The sequence below is a fragment of the Homo sapiens genome, chromosome 16, assembly GCF_000001405.40.
Source record: "Homo sapiens chromosome 16, GRCh38.p14 Primary Assembly".
Taxonomy (NCBI): Eukaryota; Metazoa; Chordata; class Mammalia; order Primates; family Hominidae; genus Homo; species Homo sapiens.
Window position 1 is genome coordinate 22,027,587 of NC_000016.10, and position 26,178 is coordinate 22,053,764.

A 26,178-nucleotide genomic window follows, 5' to 3' on the forward strand; every position below is an offset into this window, starting at 1 on the left:
CTTCTTCCTCTCCGTTTTCTCCTCCAGATTTATGAGTGATAGGGACAGAAAATTTCTTATCAGAGTGCCCTTTATTTTAATCTCAAGGTTTTGAAGTAGAATTTAGGACAAAAATAGATTTTTCTGAACCAAAACACTGAAGATTCTGTTTGGGAAGTGAGAAAGCAAGCTGCTAAACACCTACTCTACTTGTGCAGTGACAAGAAAATTGAATTTCTCATTCGTTTCCTGCCCCTAGCCCTTGCCTTCAGTTTCTCTGCCTCAGTATGAAAGTATCTGTATTCCTTTGGGGACAGTTGCCTCACTGAAGCCACAAAGAGCAGTCTCCAGGAGTTGTGTGGCAAGCTAACTATAACCTTTTGGAAGAACATCTGGATACAGTTTTCATTTTTAAAATGTATCGTTTTTTAGGTCATTAGATTTATATAGTTCAAATTTATTGGTGTCAGTTCTCTTCCTAGGTTGTACCATCCATTTTGAAAAGATGTATGTCTTTTATCCAGAAGATGTAAAGTATATAGGGTCATAATCAATAAAAATCTCTATCTTCAGTTAAACTACTGGAGTTTTCCCTTCTTCAAGTTTTCAGAATATAATCATTATACCAAACACACGTGTGCGTATGCATATATATCCATCCATACAAATATAACTTTCCTTTATTATGATTACTCAGTTGCAAGCAGTGTAGAAGTTATAATATTTGTTTTATTATAATCATTTCAGCAATATGGATAGGGCTACTGGACCCTGGAATTTGAAAAGAGAGGATCTTTTTTATGTTTTTTTTTTTTAATTTTGATAAAATATGCATAACGAAATTTACCATCTTAACCATTTTTAAGTGTACAGTTCAGTGGCATTAAGTTTATTCACATTGTTTTACCACCGTCACCCCGATCCATCTGTAAAGCTCTTTTCATCTTGCAAAACCAAAACTCTACACCCATTAAACAACTTAAAAAGAGAGGATCTTAACATCAGAATCACATAATTACTACTCTATAAACATCTGATGGGTGTTTACTTCTAAAACAACTGCTTTCTTTTTTAATTGACCTTTCACTATACTTAGCCTCTTCTAGGAATTATTATATGTAATCTACTCAGTCATATTTTCTTTAATTTTTCTCTTTCTACAACTTTACTTTTCCAAAGGTGATGTAAATTACATGTTTTATGTTCTCCCATGTTTATACTCTACTTAACCTTCCCTCACTCCCATAGGCTTGATGAGTGTATATTGTCAGAGCATTATTTCCTGTACCCACTGCTATGTTTGTTTGTTTGTTTATTTATTTTGAGATGGAGTTTTGCTCTTGTTGCCCAGGCTGGAGTACAATGGTGCAGTCTTGGTTCACTGCAACCTCCACCTCCCAGGTTCAAGCGATTCTCCTGCCTCAGCCTCCTGAGTAGCTGGGATTATAGGCACCTGCCACCATGCCCGGCTAATTTTTGTGTTTTTAGTAGAGACGGGGGTTCACCATGTTGGCCAGGCTGGTCTCGAACTCCTGACCTCGTTATCTGCCTGCCTCTGCCTCCCAAAGTGCTGAGATTACAGGTGTGAGCCACCACGCCTGGCTATGTTTATATTTTTAAAAGTCCTAAAAGTCAGATGGTTTAATGTACATACATTCTTGACATTTTAAATACCTCCAATTTTGAAAGCATTCTTTCTCTGGGCTGTTAGATACATGTATGATTCATAAAATGAAATAGGGTTGCCTGTAGTTATTTCTTGAGTTGCCATTTAGAGTCTTCTGGCCTTGTCATCTGTCTAGGGAAGAAATCCAGCATACCTTACTGTCATGTATGTCATTGTAGATCTTATAGCTTCAGAAAATTCTCTTTCCTTTTCTTCAGAATTCACCAGTTTTAAAGCTTTTTCCTCTCCTTCAATTTTGTCACCAAAATGTGGCTTTGCAGTCACTTGACCTGTAACTTTACACACTTAAGTCTGCTAGACAGAAAAATGCTGTTGCATTCTTAAAAGCTTTTAAGCAGTTATTTGGACTTTTAGTAGAATTAATTAACTAATTTATTTATTTATTTATTTAGAGACAGGGTTTCTCCCTGTTGCCCAGCCTGGAGTACAGTGGTGCAATCATAGCTCACCACAGCCTTGACGCCCTAGGCTCAAGTGATCCTCCCATCTCAGCCTCTCCCATAGCTGGGACTACAGGCATGGACACTACCATGCCCAGCTAATTATTTTGCTTTTTGTAGAGGTGGGGTTTCACCATGTTGTCCAGGCTGCTCTCAAACTCCTGGGCTCAAACAGTCTTCCTGCCTTGACCTCCCGAAGTGCTGCGATTACAGGCGTGAGCCATGGCATCTGGCCAGAATTTCTGAGTTACCAGATTGCTAAACAACTTCACAGAAAAATTAATAATAGTCTCAAAATATTGTTTTCTTCTGACTCCTCTCACCATAAATTCATGCTTCTCCACTCTACTCTCCCCAGCAGATTCTGGAAGTTTCCTAGCAAAATTGCATATTGAAGCACATTCAAACTTAAGGTTGAAGAAATCTACACAAAGGACATCATTGTGTTATTTTAGACTCTAGGTGGAGTCTGTACTATTTGTTCTACCTTCACCCTTATTTAGAATTGATAAGAATGCACTGAGCCTTAGTACTCTCTGGGGTCTGACTCTGCAGGCAGATAGATATTCACTGGGATCCAGAACCTATCATACATCACTGTAGAAAAAGATTCAAATACAGTCAACGTATTTGAAAATCAAAACCGTATTTTCCAAACAGTCAAGTTAAAAGTGTATGTCTGCACAAAGCCTATCCAGTTAAGACAGTGTGTGTCACTATTTTTCCTTTTGCAAACTTCCTTAGTGTCTGAACATTAAGTGCATATTTCTTAGGCAAATTATGCATCAGTACTTTTCTCTTCACAATTAAATATTTCCAGCAGTTTGGGACTCATTTTTAACTATTCCTCTCCCTGTTTTTTGAGACAGAGTCTCACCCTGTTGCCCAGGCTGGATTGAAGTGGCGCAATCTCGGCTCACTGCGACCTCTGCCTCCCAGGTTCAGGTGATTCTCAACCTCCCAAGTAGCTGGTATTACAGGCATGCTCACCACACCTGGCTAATTCTTCTATTTTTAGTAGAGACGGAGTTTTGCCATGTGGGCCAGGCTGGTCTTGAACTCCAGGCTTCAAGTGATATGCCCACCTTGGCCTCCCAAAGTGCTGGGATTACAGGCATGAGCCACTGCACCCAGTCTTTTTTTATTATTATTATTTTAAGCATTCTTCTGAGCTGACAAATGATTATCAAAGTGATTCTGATTTATGATTAGTTTATCCCATTTTTTGAAAAGTATGTTTTACCTTCTCTAGGCCAACCTGCAATAAATAAGACCCAGTTTTAGTGGGAGATACAATTAAACAGTTGACCGGAAGTCAGTAAGAAGAGTGCTAAAATAGTAGTTAAGTGCATATTGCAGTTGAAGCATATTAGATGTGCCTCTAACTCAGGCATGGAAGGTTAGAAACGACTACATAGAGGAATGACATCTAAGCCAAGATGTAAAGAACAGATAGGATTTGGCTAGAGAAGGAAGGGCCGTAAGAATGTTCCAGGTAGAAGGAAGCCTCAGAGGTTTAAAAGAATATATTACATGTAGGGGTCCTGGAAGCTCAGTGTAACAGGAGGAGTTTGAGGGAAGGAGAGGCATCAGATGACTCTGGATGGGGAAACAGGGACTAGGTAATGAAGAGCTATAATGAAATATAATTCCACTTTTCTTTTTAAAACAGATTTATTGAGGTATAATTCACATCATACAGTTTACCCCTTTAAAGTGTACATTTCATTGTTTCTTTAGCATATTCACAGTTATACAATCATCACCACAGTTGATTTTAAAACATTTTTGTCACCTCAAAAAGAAAACCTGTACCTTTTAGCTAGCACCCCTCCAACTACCCTAGTCCTAAGTAACTACTAATCTACTTTCTGTTTCATACAGTTTACCTATTTGGATATTTCATATAAAGGAAATGATAACGTGGTCTTTTGTGACTGGCTTCTGTCACTTAGCATAATGTCAAGGTTCATACATATTGCAACATGTATCAGTACTTCATTTTTATTACCAAATGATATTTCATTGTATAGATATACCACATTTTATTTTTCCATTCATCAGTAAGTAGACATTTGGGTCCTTTCTACTTTTTGTGACTATTACAAATAACGCCTCTGTGAACCATGTACAGGTTTTTGCATGGACATACATTTTCATTTCCCTTGCATATATACTTAGCAATGAAATTGCTGAGTCATACAGTCATTGTATCTTTAACTTTTTGAGGAACTATCAGACTGTTTTCCAAAGTGGTTGTACCATTTTCCATTTCTGTTACCAGTATAGGAGGGTTCCAGTTTCTCCACATCCTCACCAGTACTTGTTATTTGTGTTTTTGATTCTAGCCATCCTGTTGGGTATGAAGTAGTTTCTCTTTTGGTTTTGATGCGCATTTCCCTGATTACTAATGATGTAGCGCATCTTTCCATATGCTTATTGGCCATTTCTGTATCTTCTTTGGATAAAAGTCTATTCTGATCCTCTACCCTTTTCTTTTTTTTTTTTTTTTTTGGTGAGAGATTCTCACTCTGTCACCCTGGCTAGAGTGCAGTGGAGCAATCTCGGCTCACTGCAATCTCTGCCTCCCAGCTTCAAGTGATTCTTGTGCTTTAAGCCTCCGGAGTAGGTGGGATTACAGGTGCATGCCACCATGTCCAAGCTAATTTTTGTGTTTTTAGTAGAGATGGCTTTTTGCCATGTTGGCCAGGCTGGTCTCGAACTCCTGGCCTCAAGTGATCCACTCGCCTTGGCCTCCCAAAGTGCTGGAATTACAGGCATGAGCCACTGCACCTGGCCCTCTACCCATTTTTAAATTGGATTACTTGTCTTTAATATTGAATTGTAACAGTTCTCTTTTCTTTTGTTTTTGAGACTAGGTATCACTCTGTTGCCCAGGCTGGAGTGCAGTGACCCCAATCATAGCTCACTGCAGCCTCGAATTCCTGGGCTCAAGGTATCCTGCTACCTCAGCCTCCCAAGTAGCTGGGACTACAGGTGCACATTACTCTGCCCATCTAACTTTTTAATTTTTTTATAGAGATGGGGTCTTGCCATCTTGCCCAGGCCAGTCTTGAACTCATGGCCTCAAGCAGTCCTCTTACCTCGACCTCCCAAAGTCTCGGCATTACAGGTGTGAGCCACCTTGCTTGGCCTGAGTTAATTTTATATATGGTGTGGGTAGGGGTCCAAACTCATTCTTTTGCATGTGAATATCCAATTGTCCCACTGCTACTTATCAAAAATACTATTCTTTCCCAATTGAATAGTCATGTCACCCTTGTTGAAAATCAACTGATCATAAATGTGAGAGTTTATTTCTGGAATCTCAAGTTTTTTTCCATTGATCTATGTCCTTATACCAGTGCTACATTATCTTGATTACTATAGCTTTGTAGTATTATAGGTTTTGAAATTGAGAAGTTTGAATCCTCCAACTTTTCTCTCTTTAAAAAATTCTATGGCTATTCTGAGTCCCTTGCATTTCCATATAAATTTTAGGATCAGCTTATCAATTTCTGCAACAACAATGACAAAAACCCAGCTGGGCTTTTGGTAAGGATTGCATTGAATCTGTAGATCAACTTGGAAGTATCGTCTAAGTCTTCTAATCTATGAGTATGAAATGTCTTTCTATTTATTAAATCTTTAGTTTCAGCAACATTTTATAGTGTTCAGTGTACAAGTCTTGTACTTTTTTTGTTTGTTTTTTTGAGAGGGAGTCTCACTCTGTCGCCCAGGCTAGAGTGCAGTGGCACGCTCTTGGCTCACTGCAACCTCGGCCTCCTGGGTTCAGGCAATTCTCCTGCCTCAGCCTCCTGAGTAGCTGAGATTACAGGCACCCGCCATGATGCCCAGCTCACGCCTGTAATCCCAGCACTTTGGGAAGCCGAGGCGGGCAGATCACGAGGTCAGGAGATCGAGACCATCCTGACTAACCTTGAAACCCCGTCTCTACTAAAAAAAAAATACAAAAAATCACCCGGGCATGGTGGCAGGTGCCTGTAGTCCCAGCCACTTGGGAGGCTGAGGCAGGAGAATGGCATGAACCCAGGAGGCGGAGCTTGCAGTGAGCCGAGATGCACCACTGCAGTACAGCCTGGGCGGCAGAGCGAGACTCCATCTCAAAAAAATAAAATAAAATAAAAAACATGCTCACAATACTTACATTAGCCTATAGTTGGGCAAAATCATCTAACACAAGGCTATTTTATAATAAAGTGTTGAATATCTCTTGTAATTTATTGAATATGGCACCAAATGTGAAAAACGAACTGGTTTTATAGGTACTCCAGTACATACTGGTTTTGCACGATGGTCAAGTTGAAAAACTGTAAGTCACGGACCACGGGGACACTCTATGTACATTTAGAACTAATCTAAGTTCACTTTCAAATGACACTATACCACTTAACAAGTAGTACAATTACTTTATAACAGAATATTCCCAATTCCTTTGTCCTCTTCCTTATTGCTGTCATTCATTTTACTTATCCATAAGCTGTAATCACTGACACATTGTTGCTATTATTTGTTTTGAACAAACTGTTGTCTGTCAGTTAGGAATAAGAAAAAGATTTTATTTTGCCTTCATTTATTCCTTCTGTAATGTGCTTTCTTTCCTTATGTAGGTCCAAATTTCTGACTGAAATCATTTTCTTTCTCTCTAAAGATTATCTGTTATCATTTCTAGCAAGACAAACTTTCTGGTGAAGAATTCTCTCAATTTTTGTTTGAGAAAGTCTTTATTTCTGTTTCATTTTTGAAAGATAATTTTACTGGATACAGAAGTCTAGGTTCATGTTATTTTTCTTTCAACACTTAAAATATTTCACTCCTCTCTCCTTGCTCGTGTGATTCCTGATGAGAAGTCTCATGTAATTCTTATCTTTGCTCTTCTGTAGGTAAGGTAGTTTTTTCTCTGGCTTTTTTCAGTATTTCCTCTTTATCTTTGATTTTCTACAATTTGAATATGATATACCTGTGTGTAGATTTTATCTCCCTTGATGTCTTTGGGGTTTAGAAACTGTTTTTTTTGTTTGTTTTTTTGGGTTTTTTTTTTTTTTTTTTTTTTTTTTTTTTAAAGACAGGGTCTCACTCTGTTGCCCAGGGCGGAGTACAGTGGTTGCCCAGTCTCAGGTGATTCTCCCACCTCAGCCTCCCAGGTAGCTGAGACTACAGGCATGCGCCACCATACCCAGCTAATTTTGTTTGTATTTTTTGTAGAGACGGGGTTTTGTCATGTTGCCCAGGCTGGTCTCAAACTCCTGGCCTCAGGTGATCCATCCTCCTTGACCTCCCAAAGTGCTGGGATTACAGGTGTGAGCCACGGCGCCTGGCCTAGACTTCTTAAATAAGGCCTGAGATCTGCAGTTCTTTGAGTTATATTCCCCTTTGATCATACAGGAGTCCTGTCAATATGAATGACGGTAAGGTACATGGGGAGGGGAAGAGTTCTATAATCCTATGAGGAGATCTCAGTCTTTGAGTGAGCCTGTGCCCTGGGCTGTGATCTTCACAAGTGCTTCTTGGTGCCTTGCCCCACTTAGGTGAGACAGGAAAGCTAGAGAGGGCTGGAGTTGGGTATTCAGTTCAGCTCCGGTGAAATAGTTTCTTTTCAGGCACGCCTTGTTGAAAACAGTGTGCTCTGGGCTTATTTCAAAATGACTTATTTCCCCTTTCCCCTGCCAGAAGCAGGAGGGGATTTTTTTTTTTTTTTTTTAATCTTCACTGTGAGGACCTCATAGGGCTCCTAGAGATAAAATGCAAAAATGTGCCCTCACTCTCCTTGCTCAAGCCTGGGCCCCTCTGGAATTTTTAACTCTCAGATTTAATCATACTGAGCCTCAGGAATTCCTCTTACAGGTTAGATTTTCCTACCTTCATTCAGGTTTCTGTGGAGGTTTTGAGGTTTCCGCACCTATAACTTGTGATTTTTTGTATCTACCTGTTTGTCTTTCCAATTTTGCAGGCAGCGGTTTGCCCTGTGTCTTCAGTTCTCTGATGGATTTAAGAAGAGTTGTTTATACTGATTTTGTTCAGCATTTTTCTTATTCCATGAATGAGGATGACAACTTGTAACCTCCTTACATGCCTGACTGGAAATCGGAAGTTACCTGCTTAGTTAAATTTATTCCTAGATTTCTTGTTTTGGGGTTTTGTTGTAGTTGTTACTTTTTTGTAGTTGTTTGCTTGCTGTTATATTATAAATGCATTGCCTTCTTAGTTTTTGGATTTCTCACTGCTAGTGTATAGGAATACAATTAATTTTTATATATTGGTCTTGTATCCTGCAATCTTTCTAAGCTTATTAGTTCTAATAATGTTTTAAAGAATTTGTTTTTGCGCTTAATTGCTCTAGATGTTACCTCCAGTACATGTCGAATAGAATTTGGAAAAGTAGAAATCCTTGTCTTTTAAATTTTATTTATTTATTTACTTATTTATTTTTTGAGACAGAGTCTCGCTCTCTCTCCCAGGCTACAGTGCAGTGGCCCAATCATGGCTCACCGCAGCCTTGACATCCTGGGCCAAGTGATCCGCTTACCTCAGCCTCTCGAGTAGCTGGGAACCATAGGTGCACACCACCATGCCTGGCTAATTTTTGTATTTTTGTGGAGACAGGGTCTCCTGATATTGCCCAGACTGGTCACAAACTCCTGGGCTCAGGAGATCCTCCCGCCTCAGCCTCCCAAAGTGCTGGGATTACAGGCATGAGCCACTGCGCCTGGCCTAAAATTTTTATTTGTTTTTTGGTTTTTAGGGTTTTTTTAGAGGCAGGGTCCTGCTCTGTCACTCAGGCTGGAGTGCAGTGGTCCAATCACAGCTAATTGTAGCCTTGAACTTCTGTGCTCAAGTGATGCTCCTATCTCCGCCCCACGAGTAGCTCGGACTACAGGTGTGCACTACCGTGCCCAGCTAAGTTTTAAATTTTTGTAGAGACAGCATCTCACTGTGTTGCCTAGGCTGATCTCCAGCTACTGGCATCAAGGTATTCCCCCACCCCCACTTGGCCTCCCAAAGCACTGGAATTACAGGTGTAATTCTATACCCAGCCACAAATTTAGTGTTTAACAAACTGCCAAATTGTTTTCTGAAGGGCCTTTTACACTGTGTTAAGAATTTGGACCCCATTGTAAGGGCAGTAGGAGGCTATTTTAATATGAATCCTGAATTTAATATTTTGAATTTGAAGAGGTTGTCAAACCAGAGAATCTGCCTAGTGGGCAGGTGAAACTCATAAGTCAGACTAGGATTGGAGATACAGAATGAAAAGTCATCAGCCTATGACTGATTTTGGAAGCTATTGTAGGAATATTTTCCAGGGAGAGTAAGAAGAGTAAGGAGAAACAAGAGAACCCAGGAAAGAACCCTGAAGGTCACCAGCATTTTAAGGATGCTGAGAAAAAGCTAGACTCAAGAGGAAAACCAGCCAGGCATGTTGGCTCGTGCCTATAGTCCTAGCTACTGGAAAGGCTGAGGTGGGAGGATCACTTGAACCCAGGTGTTCAAGGTTGCAGTGAGCTATGGACTACACCACTGCACTCCAGTCTGGGTGACAGAATGAGACTTGGTCTCTAAAAAGGAAAACGAAACAAAAATTTGATACTATAGAAGCCACGGGAAAATGTATTTGCAAGAAGAAAGAAGTGGTTGGCAGTCTTGGCCAAAAAGGAATTAAGGTATGAAATCAGTTTCTCCAACTATGCTCTCACAACACGGAAAACTTCTGTGACCAAGTGTGTGTTTTTCCTGCACTCACCAAGCAATTCTACGGCAAGTATCAGCTGGGTGTCCTGTAATTCAACTCAGTTCTGTTGCCATCTACCTGGCATATAGATCCCATAGATTGAGGGGTCAAACCTACAAGCTGCCCCCAATCCTAAGCCAGTTGCAAGCCTCGGGTTGTTTTTACCTGTGCTTCTGATCAACTGGTTAGAAATCAACTTTCCCATCACCTCCTCCTCAGTTTCAACTACTTTGCTGGGACAGCTCACAGAACTCAGGGAAATACTTACTTACCTTTACTGGTTTATTATGAAGGATACTACAAAGAATACAGATGAAGAGATGAATAGGGCAAGGCATGTGGGAAGGGGCGGGAAGCTTCCGTGCCCTCTCCTGGCATACCACCCTCCAGGAAGCTCCATGTGTTTAGCTACCCAGAAGCTCTTTGAGCCCAATCCTTTTGGGGTCTTGTGGAAGCTTCATTACATAGGCATGATTGATTAAATCCTTGGCCATTGACGAGCAATTCAACCTTTAGCCCCTCTCCCTTACCTGGATGTTGGCAAGGTGGGACTGAAAGTCCCAGTCTTCTAATCATGCCTTGATCTTTCCCATGACCAGCCCCCATCCTGAAGCTACATAGGGGCTGCCAGCCACCAGCCATCTCATTAGCTACAAAAGAAACTCTCATCACTCTGGAAATCCCAGGGATCTCAGGGGCTGTGTTGGGAAGCCTGATGAAAATCAAATATTTATTTCACAGTATAACAAGATGAAATTGAAAAGTACATTAGTCTTAAAGAGATTGTTAATAGCCTTGGAGAGAGACGTTTCAGAGAAGTGGTAAAGTAGGAGCCTCATTCACAGTGGGTTGCAAAATAACTAGTAGGGAGAGTAAGACAACAGTGAAGATGGAATTTTGCCTGTGCAAGGGATAGTGAGGTTAGTCAACATCCATCGTAATGAGAAGGAGCCAGCAGAGAGGGAGGGATTGATAATGCACCAAAGTTGATAGATCAAGGACCCTAATAGTACCAGAGTGGTAAAGCATAACAGAGGGATAGATTTTAGGAGACAAGAAACACTTTGTGACATGAGGAAAGGAAGTGAGGACCAATGAAGATGAAGTTAGGTTACAGATAATGGTGGTAGGAAATTGAGGGAGTCCACCTCTGTGACTTATAGAGATAACAAGAAGGGTCACTTGCTAGGAGTGAAATGGGAGTGATAATACTGGTAGGAAGTTTGAAAAGAGTATATATTTTAAAAATGGTTGAAAAGCTACTGTACAGAATAAGAGAGAGCCAGCTAAAAAAACAGATTTCTGGGTTGTATTGAGGGGCTAGTTGGGTCCATAAAGCATAAATTTTTTAATGATGCCAATCTTACAGTTATGTACTTTTATCCAGCAGAGTTTAGTAGTCTGGGTAGAGATGTGGGAAAGGAGACCATTGTGTTCATCCAAAACTGACATGGGAGAAAGCAATGACATGGGAGAAAGCAATGAATGAACTAAGCATAGTGCTCTGTAATAGACATTGAAGTCAGGTCTCAGGTCTAATCTTGACTGCTTAGTGAGTTAGGCAGATTACTTAACCTTCTCTCAGCTTCAGTTTCCTAATAATCATACTGAATCATATCAGTTTTCTAATCATAATCATCTATTCAGGCAGATTATTCAACCTTCTCTAAGCTTCAGTTTCCTAACAATAATCATACTGAATCATATCAGTTTTCTAATGATAATAATCTGTTCTCAGTGATGGGAATTAAATGGACAAGTGAACTCCTTAACGCATAGTTTGGGATACATGATACATGTCAATAAGTAGCAGTTTTTAACATTATTTGTGACCCAATTCTGTCACTTATAAGCTAGGTGACCTTAGGCAAGTTTCTTTCCTTTTTATCTATAAAAAGGAAATTATAATACTTGTTAGGGATTTTCAGCTGGGTATATTTTGAGGAAAAGATGTCAAGCTCTACGCCTGATACAGCCTTTAACAACTCAGTAAATGCTAGTTGAAGCAGAATCTGTAAGGAATTTTTTAGAAAATTAGGTTGGAAAGTTAGGTTTGGAATTTTGGCCTTTGTCTTATCATTAGTAGGGTATCTTTAAAAGTTCATGAGCAGGCTGGGCATGGTGGCTCATACATGTCCTAGCACTTTGGGGGGCCAAGGTGGGAGGATTGCTTGAGGCCAGGAGTTCGAGACCAGCCTGGCCAACATAATGAGTCCTTGTCTCTTACAAAAAAAGAATTCATGAGCCAGGAGATAACATAAAAGTGGTATTTTAGAAATATGCATTTATAAGTAGTGTGGTAGGATCTATGTCTCAGCTGGATATCTCCTTTTCAGACAGGCCTTCCCTAACCACCCTGAATCTAAGATAGCAGCACTCCCTCCTCCTATCTAATGCCTTACCCTGTATGATTTTTCTTATGGCATTTATGACTGCAATTACCTTGCTTATTAATATGTTCACTTTTTTACTGGCTCCCTCCACTAGAATATATGCTTCATGAGAAAAGAAATATTATCTGTCTTACTACTGCTATATCTCAGCACCCAGAATGTGCCTAGCACATGGAAGGCATTGGATCTGTTTGTTGAATGAATGAAATATAGTAGGAACTGGAAGTAGAGAAACTAGTTAAGAAATTATTGGAATGATTTCAACATTAGGACATAAAGATCTGGACAGGAATAATGATAGCAATGGAAACAGAAGGAACAAATAAGAAAAATTGAAAACCAAATACATCATGTTCTCACTTATAAGTGGGAGCTAAATGGTGAGAACACATGGACACATAAGAGGGGAACAACACACACTAGGGCCTATCCGAGGGTGGAAGAAGGGAGAGGATCAGGAAAAAATAACTAATAGGTACTAGGCTTAATACCTGGATGATGAAATGATCTGTACAACCAACCCCCATAACACAAGTTTACCTATGTAACCTGCACATGTACCCCTGAACTTAAAAGTATTTTAAAAATTACAAAGAAGGATGATTTTTGACATATTAGAGGGCATAATAAGAAGCAGGCAATAAGAATGATACCAAGATTTCCAAACTGGGTGATTGATGGAGTGACAGTATTGTCATTGAAGGTATCTGCCTTCAATAACTTTTTATGACCAGATTTAGAAGAAACAGTGCCTGGCATACACTGATGGGCAGTAAATATCTGAATGAATGAAACAAAATGGGGGAAGTCAGAAGGTTACATGTAAGATACATTATATGTTTAAAGAAGCAATAGAACATCTAAGCAGATGGAGAAGAAGGCTAAAATTCTAGAAAGAATAAAGGGCCTTGGGATTTACAACATTCAACAGAAAAGCTGCAGCCCTAGAGATAGGCAAGCAGCAGGATTATGGTTTTAAGAAAGTAAAGACACAAAGACACGCCTATAGTCCCAGCTACCCAGGAGGCTGAGGCAGGAGAATCGCTTGAACCTTGGAGGCGGAGGTTACAGTGAGCCAAGATCGCGCTACTGCACTCCAGCCTGGGCAACAGATTGAGACTCTATCTCCAAAAAACAAACAAACGAACAAACAAAAAAGGTAAGTAAAGACATTTAGTTCCAGGAAGGGAAGAGATAGCTACGAATATTACATGCTTCAGAAAACTGAAGAAAATGGGGACTAGGGAAGATCTTTGGATTTAGAGATTTAGAGGACATGATCTGGGAAAGAACAATTTAAATACAGTAATGAAGTGAAAGTCATATTACAAAAGGTGTGAAGAATGAGTGGACAGTGAGATAAATTTCACCCACAGAGGTAATGAGAAGAGAGACACTGTGGTGATCTGAGGTGGAGTCATTTAAGGGAAGCTTAGCTTGCCTTGTTTTGTTTTTTTATGAATACAGAAGCATAGTTTAGAGAGAGAGCAGAAAGATCCATAGCCTAAGACAATTGTCAATTTTTAATATGCACAAGAATAACATGGGAATTTTGTTTAAAATGCAGATTGCTAGCACCACTTACAGAGAATCCGATTCAGCAGGTCTGCAGAGCAGGACATTTTTAAACAAATAACCCTCATCACCACCAACCCCCAACCTGCACCCAGGTTACAACTGTAGTTAAGTATTTAGACCGTACTTTGACTAACACTAGTTCAGGGAGTAATTGAAGTAAAAATAAATGGATGAGAAGGGAATTTGATTTTTAAAAACCAAAGTAAAGGGTTAAGCTTCAGGAAAGAGAAGAAGTTCATCTTCTTTATTTTTTAATTTTAACTTTAATTTTTTTTTTTTATTTTGGAGACACGGCCTCACTTTGTTGCCCAGGCTGGGCAGTTGCTCAGTCATGGCTCACTGCAGCCTTGAACTGGGCTCAAGCATTCCTCCCACCTCATATTCCTTAGTAGCTGGGACTACAGGCACATACCACCATGCCTGCCTACTTTTTTTCTATTTTTATTTTTGTAGAGACAAGGTCTCACTATGTTTGTTGCCCAGCTTGGTCTTGAACTCCTGGCCTCGAGCGATCCTCCCATCTTGACTTCGCTAAGTGCTAGGATAACAGGTGTGAGCCACTATGCCTATTCATCTTCTTTAAAACAAACGGAAAAAGAAGATGGTATAAGAGAAATTTTGAGATGTTCGGAACTGAGTTTCCAGGAGATTTTTCAGGTGGAGGAGGGCAAATAAGGTTTGCTTCATTTGTATGACCTTGATTTTTTTCCTTTGAGTGGGAAGAAAGGTTATCTACTTTGGGCAGATATGAGAGAACTAAGAGTGTGAAGAGGTTTGGAACAGCTGCTCTGGGGGCTGCAACAGTCAACAAAGGATGAACATAAGCATCGCTGAGCAGCATTAAGATTCTGCTAAGTAGGTGGCATATGAGTTTTTGGTGGACCCAGTCGGCAGTTATTTGACACCTTTTCTAGGCAAGGAATAGTCCTAAAAACATGTATCTTCTAATAATTCATCCTGGCTCCATCACCTGGAGTTTACTTAAACCTTTTTGGATGCTTTCAGCCTACGCCACTTCCTACAATAATGAACTTTATATATTTACTGTATAAAGTATCTAAAAGTTACCTTTCAACTCAAAAGATACTTCCTTTGATTTGCTAGAACATATTTACATTTGTTCTCTCCATACTGTTTAAATTTTTCTGGATTTGATCACAAGACATGTAATGCTTGCCATCATTTCACCAACTGTTATTTCTAAGACCAGCCCTGTTGGAGGTATATATTTTCACACGGGCACCAGAAGTTACCACCCAGTGCTCTATTACCATAGCTGTCACCAAGCGAATTCAGTACTCTGGGTTAGGGCAAAGGAAACCAACCTGCTGAGTTTTCTCCAGGCTCGCAAAAACGGGAGTCCGTTCAGATGAAGAGGGGGCGAAGCACCTGGGCACTGTGTTGTTATTCTACTCTTAATATATGCAACAACTCTGAGATAGATAACGGAATCTCCCCATTTACAATGGAGAAACTGAGACTCACATGCCTGAAGTGCTTCAGGTCATAGAGGAAAGAAGCTGGAGAGCTGAAAGTCACACCCACCTCTGTCTTATTCCATACCCCATACTCCTTTTTATATCATGCTGCATTTGGTGGGATACTGTCCAGCCACTTTTATTTTTATGCATAAATTAACAGTGGGACTATTGACTAATTAACAGTTTATAATTGGGAGCAACTTCTTACCCTGTAAAGATCAACAATTAAAGACATGCAGCATTGGGAATTTAACATATGGAAAATTTTTCATCTGTTTCTGTGATCTTTTAACTGTCTTAGGCCATTAGGTTGCTAGCATGACACATAGAAACTGTATATTCTTCATGAGGACAGATAAGCATTATGAATAGCAAGAATTTTAAAGTTTTCTGCTTTTTTTCATTAAATTCTGATGGTACCCAGCATTTTAGTCTTTTAGTCACAGCAGTACATTTCCATTTCTGACATAACTATCATTTGACACATATAGGGATTATTTTTCCTTAAATATGTATCTTTACATTGCTCACATGGATGCTTATCATCTGACTATTCACACACTCTTGCCTCATCTTCCTATATTTTATCAGTGAATATTTATTGAGCACCTCTTTTATTCTAGCCATTTTGCTAGGTATCCCAAGGAAAGCCTACTGTGTTCTGAAAAATTGGAATTCATTAATTAAATTAAACAGGACTAACATACTATACTTTTCCATCCAGAGAAATGCAAAATTATACCTTGATTCAAGACAAAATAGTTTGTCCCTCCCAGCCATAGAGAAAGCTGAGTTGTTTGTTACTTTTAGATCTTAGGTACAGAATCTGATAAAGTCTAGGTGGTTCTGTATACCAGCAGTTGAATTTATAATCGTAGAGACTTGCCTTAAATATATGATCAGTTTAGGTAAGTTCGAGAAATTCTGAAGTGTCAATTATGTTGTATTAGTCCGTTTTCATGCTGCTGATAAAGACATACCCAAGACTGGGTAATTTATAAAGAAAAAGAGGTTTAATGGACTCACAGTTCCACGTGACTGGGGAGGCCTCACAATCATGGCAGAAGGTGAAAGGCCTGTCTTACATGGCTGCAGGCAAGAGAGAATGAGAGAGCCAAGTGTAAGGGGAAACTCCTTATAAAACCATCAGATCTCATGAGACTTATTCACTACCATGAGAACAGTATGGGAGGGAACCCCCCGCCCCCATGATTCAATTATCTCCCACCAGGTCCCTCCCACAACCCGTGGGAATTATAGGAGTTTCAATCAAGATGAGATTTGGGTGGGGATAGAGCCAAACCACACCATATATAAAAATAGTATAGATAATAGTTATATGGAGTACTACCCACTGAAGGGATACATGTTTACCTGTTCCCCCAAGTTAGGTAGCCAGAAGTGTTGTGTTTGCATTGTTGGCACAACCTGTCAACATTAATAATAACTAATTTATTAAGTACTTCTGTGTGCCAGGGATTGTTCCTAAGCTTCCTACAAGAATAAATTTATTTAATCTTCCTAAGAATCCTGTGAAGTGGGTACAGTTGAGCATCCCAAATCCCAAATGCTCCAGAATCCAAAACTTTTTGAGCACTGACATGATGCTCAAAGGAAATGCTCACTGAAGCATTTTGGATTTTTGGATTGGGGATGCTCAACCGTAAGTATAATTAATGCAGATATTCTAAAATCTGAAAAATCCTGATATCTGAAACACTTCTGGTCCCAATCATTTTGGATAAGGGATACTCAACCTGTACTACTTACTCTCTCCATTTCACAGATGAAGAAAGTGAGGTAGGGAAAAAGATAAGTAACTTGCCCAAGGTTACAGAGCTGGTAAGTGGCAGATCCCCAGGCAGCCTTGCTGTATAGCTTACTGTCTCCTAACCATTATTCTATGCTACCTTTCATGGGCCCTCATGTTAAGAGTAACTCTTCAGTTTAGCAAATTATTCTGCATTATATGATGAGCTTACATATAATAGCAATAATAGACCAGAAGCGGTGGCTCACACATGTAATCCCAACACTTTGGGAGACCAGGGTGGGCAGATTGCTTGAGTTCATGTGTTCAAGACCAGCCTGGACAACTTAGCAAAACTCCATCTCTACAAAAAATACAAAAAAAAAAAAAATTAGCCAGGTATGGTGGTACATGCCTGTAGTCCCGGCTACTCGTGAGGCTGAGGTGGGAGGATTGCTTGAGCCCAGGAGTTGGAGGTTGCAGTGAGCCAAGATCGTGACACTGCACTCCAGCCTGGGCAATAGAACCAGACATTGTCTCAAAAAAAAAAAAAAGGCAATAATGTAACTAGGTGAAAGGAGAGATTCAGTTCTTCTCTGTGGTTTCTTATACACAATCAAGATTCTAATATGTTCATAGTTAATTCATAGTGTAAAGTTTGGGTATTTTAGAAAAATGTGATGTTTTCTGATGTGACTTTACAGGAGTGGGAAAGGCATAGAAAGGCAGCGCTGGGGCTAGAGCACCATAGTCTTTATAAATAAAATGTATTGTGTTATCAGTATTGGCTCTGGGCCTTGATGGGTAGTAAAATATTTAGGAACTGAGAAAAATGATTAGGTATTAGATCCTGAAAATAAAAATTTGCTTTTTGCATTTCTTAAAAAGATTTCCTACGCTAAAAGGGTGGCAGTAAGTTTAAAAAGGTTTTAGTTACTGTTTTAAAAAAATAATTGCATAGCATATTTCATTTACTCAATAGCCACATGTGGATTTTTGGATTTGGGATGCTCAACTGTAAGTATAATTAATGCATATATTCTATGGATCATTTATGGATCCATAAAATATTCTAAAATACTTATGGATAATTTCTGGGGAAAAATTGCAAGTCTTTTTGAATGAATTTAGGTGTCAGTAGTAACTCATTTTGATTTCTTTAATTCTCTTTGGGGGCCTTGTCAAGAAAAATTTGAGTTAAGAGATATATATTTTTTTCTTTCTTCACTAGAACTCTTTTTTTTTTTTATACTTTAAGTTTTAGGGTGCATGTGCACAACGTGCAGGTTAGTTACATATGTATACATGTGCCATGGTGGTGTGCCGCACCCAGTAACTCGTCATTTAACATTAGGTATATCTCCAAATGCTATCTCTCCCCCCTCCCCCCACCCCACAACAGGCCCGGGTGTGTGCTGTTCCCCTTCCTGTGTCCATGTGTTCTCATTGTTCAATTCCTGGCCATATCATCACCATGAAAAGCAGGCAGCTGAGGAATGTGGGATTTGAGTGCACAGGAAAGCTAAAGGGACACTTCAACCCCTATTAATGGCTTTATTGCTCTATTTAAAGACTAGAGCTATTGCTCTGGCCAACATGGTTCTTTTTTGTTTTTTAAACTTTAGTAATACAGTCGATTCTCATGTGGTAGTTATGTTCTGTAAAGTCACTGCAAACATTGAATTAGTGAATACTGGATCATTGCCCCTGGGGGAAATAGGGTTAGGTTCCTGCAGGTCTCTGGTCACATTTCATCAACTGATCAATACATAACCTCATTGTATGTCTCTGTTTTAGGACATATTATTTAATATGTATTGATTCAATTACATTAATATTATATATTAATAATCCTGTACAAGAATATATGTCAACAGTATTGTGCCAGAAGCACTGTAACTCATGCCTGAACGAAGTTTCCCTAACACACATATTTTCTCTGAAAGGGAAAATCCTTCTTGCACTTAGGAACACTAGACGGCACTTGAGCACTATAATTGGGACCATTTTAAACAGTGAAATCATCAGTAAAAGGCACAAAAATGTGAAAGACGTGGCGCTGAAGAGACCACAGAAAAGACATGCACTTACTATAGGAGAACTGAGACAACAGAGCATTGCCATGCTAAGCTGCATATGGGAACATGGCTGTCATGTGACTCAAATTTTTTTGCCACTCTACACGTGGATTACGTCCTCAGATGACCACAAAAGTGCCACAACTATTGATTTGGAGCTTGCAGATAAATTTTAGTGAGTAGGCATATTTGCAAGTATGGAATCCCTGAATAATGAGGATCGACTATATATATTAATGCATTCTACATTTTAAAATGAAAAGTTAAAATATAGGACTCGCTCATCCCTACCTTTTTCACCCCCTCCTGGCATCTTTCCTTTCTGGAACTACTATCAGTTTTCTACATATTTATAAATATGTGGACTTACAGAAATATATATAATTTTTTAATAAATGGATCTCATGATATATACTATTGTGTGGTTTGCTTTTTTCTCATGTGTTAGAGATCTTTCCACGTCAATATACACAGAATTATTTCCTTTTAGTATTCTATACTGTTTATGCACCATAATTTTTTTTTTTTTTTTTTTTTTTTTAGACGGAGTCTTGCTCTGTCGCCAAGGCTGGAGTGCAGTGGCACAATCTCGGCTCACTGCAAGCTCCGCCTCCCAGGTTCATGCCATTCTCCTGTCTCAGCCTCCGGAGTAGCTGGGACTACAGGCGCCCGTCACCACGCCCGGCTAATTTTTTGTATTTTTAGTAGAGACGGGGTTTCACCATGTTAGCCAGGATGGTCTTGATCTCCTGACCTTGTGATCCGCCCGCCTCGGCCTCCCAAAGTGCTGGGATTACAGGCTTGAGCCACCGCGCCTGGCCTATGCACCATAATTTAACCATTCCTGTATTGATAGATATTTAGTAATAGTGCTATTATAAGTAATAGTGCGGTGAACATCTTTGTACCTGTTTCTTTTTCCCTATATGCAGGTTTTTCTGTGGGTTGCATATGTAAAAATGAAATTGCTAAGCTGAAAGGTGTATGCACTTGAAGTTTCCTTAGAAAGGCAGTTGTGTCAGGTCCTCTGGGAAGCTGACACTGAGACAGAGTTAGGACTGCAAATAGTTCACTGAGTACCTGTGAAAGATAGGCAGTCAGAAGCTGAAGGAAGGGAAAGAGCTCAGACTGATTTACATCTAACAGTTACAGCCTATTCAGTGGGGCACTCTGGAGTGAAGATTGCCTATTAGAAGGATAGTACTACCAGTTGGTTAGAAATAGCCAGGCCCTGGTACTCCCATGTATTCAGTTATTGACCTGTGACTGCCAGGGAAGAAAGTGGCCTGATCTTGAAAGACGAGGGAGTTAAGTCCTAAAGGCACATCAGAACTGAACTGCAAGGTATCTTCAAGGGAGATCTTGAGCAGTGTACTTCCATGGTTGCTACTGCAGTGTAGGACTGTGTAGCATAGCAAATAACACAGATTATAGAGCCAAATTCCCAAATCCAACATCTCTGTGTAAGAAAGATGTTACTCTACATCTGTGTGCCTCAGGTTCTTTATCCGTACATCTGTAAAATGGAGAAATAACAGTACCTCCCTCATAGGGTTGTGAACGATTAAATGAGCTGCTGTATACAAAGGACTTAGGATACTGGGATATGTTAACACTGTATAAGAGTTAACTGATGCTGCTGCTGCAACATCAACATCAACCCAAAAGGTGCACCAGTTTTTCTTCCAACCCTCTCAACAATGTGTAAAAGTATATTCATTTCTCCGTATCTTTTCCAGTGCTGGATAGTATAAATCTTTTTAGCTTTTGAAAATTTGATGGCCCCAAAAATGGTATTTTGTCTTAATTTGCATTTCTTTATTAAGTTGAACATCTTTTCATGTTACTGGCCACATATTTAATCTTTTGAGGTTTTAAATTTTTTCTTATTAATGTTTGGTACCTAGTCATGTATTCCAGATATTGTTATATAGTTGTGAATATTTTCTCCCAGTCTCACGTTGTTTTTCAAATTTATTTTTCATTATTATTTATGGTTTCTTTTGACAAAGATGTTTAAAATTTTGTGGATCAGTTTTTTTCTTTATGGGTTCAGGGTTTTCTTTCTTACATTGAAAAGACTTTCCTACTCCACGTTTATAGTTCTCTTTTTTATGTTTAGCTTTGTAAAGCCTCTTGAATTTATTTTTGTTCATAATTTGAAATAAGTATCTAGCTTTATGTTTTCCTCACTATAACCGGTTGCCCCCGTGTTCTTCATTAACTAGCCCTTTTTCTCCCCTGATATTTCTTGATGCTATCTCTGCTGTATTCTAAATTCCTATATATATACTGGGTGGGAGGATATTAACATTTTTAAAGGTTTTAATATGTGTTGCCAAATTGCGCTGAGGAAATACATATAGAAATTTATGTTTTTACTGGAGAGTATTTTGTTGAGCTCCCCAACCTGTGTTTCTTGCTGTTGTTTTTAGTTTTTGCCACGTTAATAGTCAAAATATAGAAGTTTTCTTGGTTTGCTTTAAAAAAACAAACAAACCAGGTTCTCATTCTGTAGCCCAGGCTGAAGTGCTGTGGCATGATCATGGCTCACTATAACCTTAATCTCCTGGGCTCAAGTGACCTTCTTGCCTCAGCCTTCTGAGTAACCTCCGTCTTACATGGTGGTATGCGCCACCATGCCTAGCTAATTAAAAATCCTTTTATAGAAATAGGGTCTTGCTATGTTGCCCAGGCTGGTGGTTTTCATTTCTTTGGTTACTGGAAAGACTGAATTTTTAAAAATGTATATACTTTTGATGTTCTGTATGCCATCTTATATGAATTGCTTATTCATATTTTTCTCCATTTTTCAATTTTGATTTTAGGTTTCTTGTTGATTTGAAAGGTATCACATATAAAGACTATTACCCCTTCATGTGTATTGCACAGAGGTTATTGTTTACCTTTAAATTTATGGTATTTTTCTTTATAGTCTGACTTTGTATGTATACCTAGAAAAGTTTTCCCTATTCCTAAGACCACAAAGTCAACTAGAATATTTTCCTTTTTATGATTTTAATTTTTATATTAATTTGCCATCTTATTTTGCTGCATGGTAATAAGTGGGAATCTTAATTCTTTTATAAATGTTAAGCCAGTTACCTAAAACAGTTTACTGAATAATCCATTCTTTCCTCTGATTTGTAATGCCATCTTATATATCCTAGCTCTCTTGGGGTGTTTGATTCCGTATTGTTGATTGATGTATCTATTCCTGCACCATTACTACACACTCTTCATTATCGTGGCTGTTGTATCCATGCCATGGTTGGAGAGCTCACCTTGGAAAGTAAGCACTCTGTGGAAGTATCATTTCAAAACTGACTTTAATTTTGGAAATTAAAAGGAAAACCCTTCTTAAGCTAGAGTAAGTGGAGTGAATTGACTTGGATCCTGCCTGGGTTCCTCTGTCAACATTCTGTTTTGTGGTCTTTAAATAACATACTTGATTAATTCCATTGGACATGAGGTAATGGCTGCTCTTAAGCTATTCTAAAGCTAGAGACAGAACTGTACAAAAGAATTGTCAGCACCAAGTACTTTAATTTAAAATATTAAACTAAAAAAAATAGTTCCAATGTTTTAGAGATACCTTTCAGGTTAAATACAATTGGTTAGGTCTGATCATTTCTATGAATAGAAGGAAGTATTGAAGGTAAACCTGTTTCTAGAGCAGAGATTCTCAACTAGGGACAGTTTTGGCCACTCCATCTCCCAGGGACATTTGACAATGTCTCAAGACATGTTGATTATCACAGCTGTTAGAGGGAGAGAGTGCTACTGACTTCTAGTGAGTAAAGGCCAGGGATACTGCTACACATCCTACAGTGCCCAAGACAACCCCAGCAACAAGTAATTATTTGGTCCAAAATGTTAGTAGTGGGCCAGGTGTGGTGGCTTATGTCTTTAATCCCAGCTACTTGGGAGGCTGAGGCAGGAGGATCACTTGAGGCCAGGGGTTTGAAATCATCATAGGGGGACCCCATCTCCTTAAAAAAATTTTTTTAAGTAGATGGATGTGGTGGTACATGCCTGTGTCAGGATTGTCTAAGTCTTAGCTACTTGGGAGGATGAGGTAGGAGGATCACTTGAGCCCAGAAGTTTGAGACTACAGTGAGCTATGATCCAGCCTGGGTGACAAAGTGAGACTCTGTCTCTTAAGAAAAAAAAAAAAAAAAAAGTGAATGCTGCTGAGGTTGAGAAACCTACTGTAGAGAAAACTCAAACTGAGAGTTCATTTTTTAGTGCAGTCCAGTCTGACAACTGCTGTGTTTAATATATGCACAAGTAATTTACTATTGAAGTAAGAGAAGACCTTTCCAAAAGTATGGTACAAAACCTAGAAGCTATAAAAGACATGATTATTAAATTTGACTCTATGGCTGGGCGCGATGGCTCATACCTGCAATCCCGGCACTTTGGGAGGCCAAGACAGGTGAGTCACTTGAGGTCAGGAATTCAAGACCAGCCTGGCAACATGTTGAAACCCCATCTCTAATTAAAAATACAAAAATTAGCCGAGCATGGTGGTGCACACTTGTAATCCCAGCTATTCAGGAGGCCAAGGCAGGAGGATCACTTGAACCTGGGAGGTAGAAGTTGCAGTGAGCCAAGATGGTGCCTGCACTCCAGCCTGGGCGACAGAGCAAGACTCCATCTCCAAAAAAAAAAGGACTCTACAGAAAAATAAAATTTCTACATACAAAAAAAATCTACCATAAACAAAAGAAAAATAACAAACTAGGCTAAAATATCAATAGGTCAAACCACAGACAAATGGCTAATTTCCTTAATATTTAAAGAGTTCTTGTACTTCATTAAGGGAAGTACCAACAACAGCTCCATGCCCCTTCCCCCATACCTCACCCTACACATCTCTTCATCTATATCCTTTGTAGTATCCTTTATATTAATAATAAATCAATAAGCATAAGTGATTCACTGAGTTGTGTGACTTGTTCCAGCAAGTTAATTAAACCCAAAAAGGGGATTGTGGGAACCCCAACTTGAAGCCAGTCAGAAGTTTTGGAGGCCCCGGCTTGTGACTGACTGGTGTCTGGGATGGGGTGGGTGGCAGTCTTGGGGACTGAGCCATCAACCCATGGGATCTGATACTATCTCCAGGTAGACAGTGTCAGAATTGAATTGGAGGACACCTGGCTGGTGTCCACTGCTTGGTGTGTGGGGGAGAAACCCCACGCATTTGGTCACAAAAGCCTTCTGTGTTGCTGTGGTGTGACAGAAAAAAACATGGTTTGAGAGTTTTTTTCCTATATATATGTGGAATAATTTGGCAATATCTGTGAACATTTTAAATGCATATACTCTTTAACCCAGAAATTTTATTTCTAGGAATTTATTCTACGGATATAGTTTCATGTGTGAAATGAATTTCGTAACGATAAATTAGGCTGTCCATTGTTATTGTTTGAAATAACAAAAGACTGGAAATAATCCATTAAAGGGAAATATTGGAGAGTTGCCTCAATAGACAACTGTACAAATACAGTATATCTATATGCTAGAATACTATGAAGCCCTTTAGACAGGATGAGGCAGCCCTGTATATGCTAATATGTAAGATTCTCTATTATATGTTATTAAGTAAAATTGCCAGGCACAGACAGTATCAGGTATTGGCAAGAATATGTAGAGCAAGTGGGACCCTTATACACTGCTGGGAGAAAAGTGAATTCGGACATAACCCCTTTGGAAAACAATTTGGTATTATCTAATAAAATTTAAAGATGTGTATGAACCTTATAACCTACCAGTTTTACTTATTAACAGATTCTAGAGGAATTCTTGCTCATTTCCCCAGGTGACAGAAATGTTCATAGTGCCATTTATAAGAAAACAAAACAGCAACAAACTTCTAGAAATCTGTGTCCAGAGTAGAATAAATAAATGTTGAGAACACTATACAGCCATGAAAAATAAATAAATTATAACAATCTGAATCTTAAACAGTCATGTTGAGCAAGAGAAACAAACTGTGGAAACATACATGTAATAAGATTGGATTCCATTTATATGAAGTTTAATATAATTCATTAAACTGTATGAAACATTAAACATGTTGTTTAGGGGGAAAAAAAATTGTAAAACTACAAGCAAGGAATTAATAAGCACAAAATCAAGGAGAGTGGTTACCTCAGGAGAGAAAACGAGATTAGAGAGGGCACATGGGGGATTCAAAAAGTAATAGTAATATTCTCTCATCTTCTTTTTTTTTTTTTTTTTTTTTGAGACGGAGTCTCACTCTGTTGCCCAGGCTGGAGTACAGTGGCTTGATCTCTGCTCACTGTAACCTCCACTTCCCAGGTTCAAGCGATTCTCTTGCCTCAGACTCCCAAGTAGCTGGTACCACAGGCACCCGCCACCACGCCCAGCTAATTTTTTTTTTTTTGTATTTTTAGTAGCGATGGGGTTTTGTCATGTTGGTCTGGCATGTCTCCAACTCCTGGCCTCAAGTGATCCACCCACCTCCACCTCCCAACGTGCTGGGATTACAGGCATGAGCCACCGCACACCCAGCCTATTCTTCCTTCTTAAACTGGCATGTGGATGCATGGGGGTTCATGATATGATAGTTTTGTTTAACCTTATGCAATTTTAGAAATATTTTATATTTACTAATTATTAAAAATAAGTTTTGGAAAGTAGGTATTGAACATTATATATGTTACTGTGACTGCATGGGTCATTTAAAAAATAATACACAGACACACACTCATGCTCTTGTATATGCGTACATTATCCCTCCTGTAAAGATACACAAGAAGTGGTGCTTGCAGCCAGGCACGGGGGCTCATGCCTGTAATACCAGCACTTTGGGATGCCAAGGCGGGCAAATCACTTGAGGTCAGGAGTTCGAGACCAGCCTGGCCAACATGGTGAAACCCTTTCTCTACTAAAAATACAAACATTAGCTGGGTATTGTGGCGGGCACCTGTAATCCCAGCTACTCAGGAGGCTGAGGCAGGAGAATCACTTGAACCCAGGAGGTGGAGGTTGCAGTGATCTGATATCATGCCAC

General features: G+C 39.3%; 1 protein-coding gene across 4 annotated transcripts in view, besides 1 other annotated feature; it reads left to right on the top strand.

Annotated features, from left to right (window-relative positions):
* The window catches only part of MOSMO (modulator of smoothened), an 84,542-nt gene that overhangs the window by 19,476 nt on the left and 38,888 nt on the right, over positions 1-26,178 (top strand). The window lies entirely within an intron of this gene.
* Positions 128-287: a silencer, noted in NCBI's record as "silent region_7259". NCBI's record gives its function as "represses an Ori minimal core promoter by ATAC-STARR-seq in GM12878 lymphoblastoid cells {active_cell/tissue: GM12878}" and the evidence as "EXISTENCE:reporter gene assay evidence [ECO:0000049][PMID:35858748]".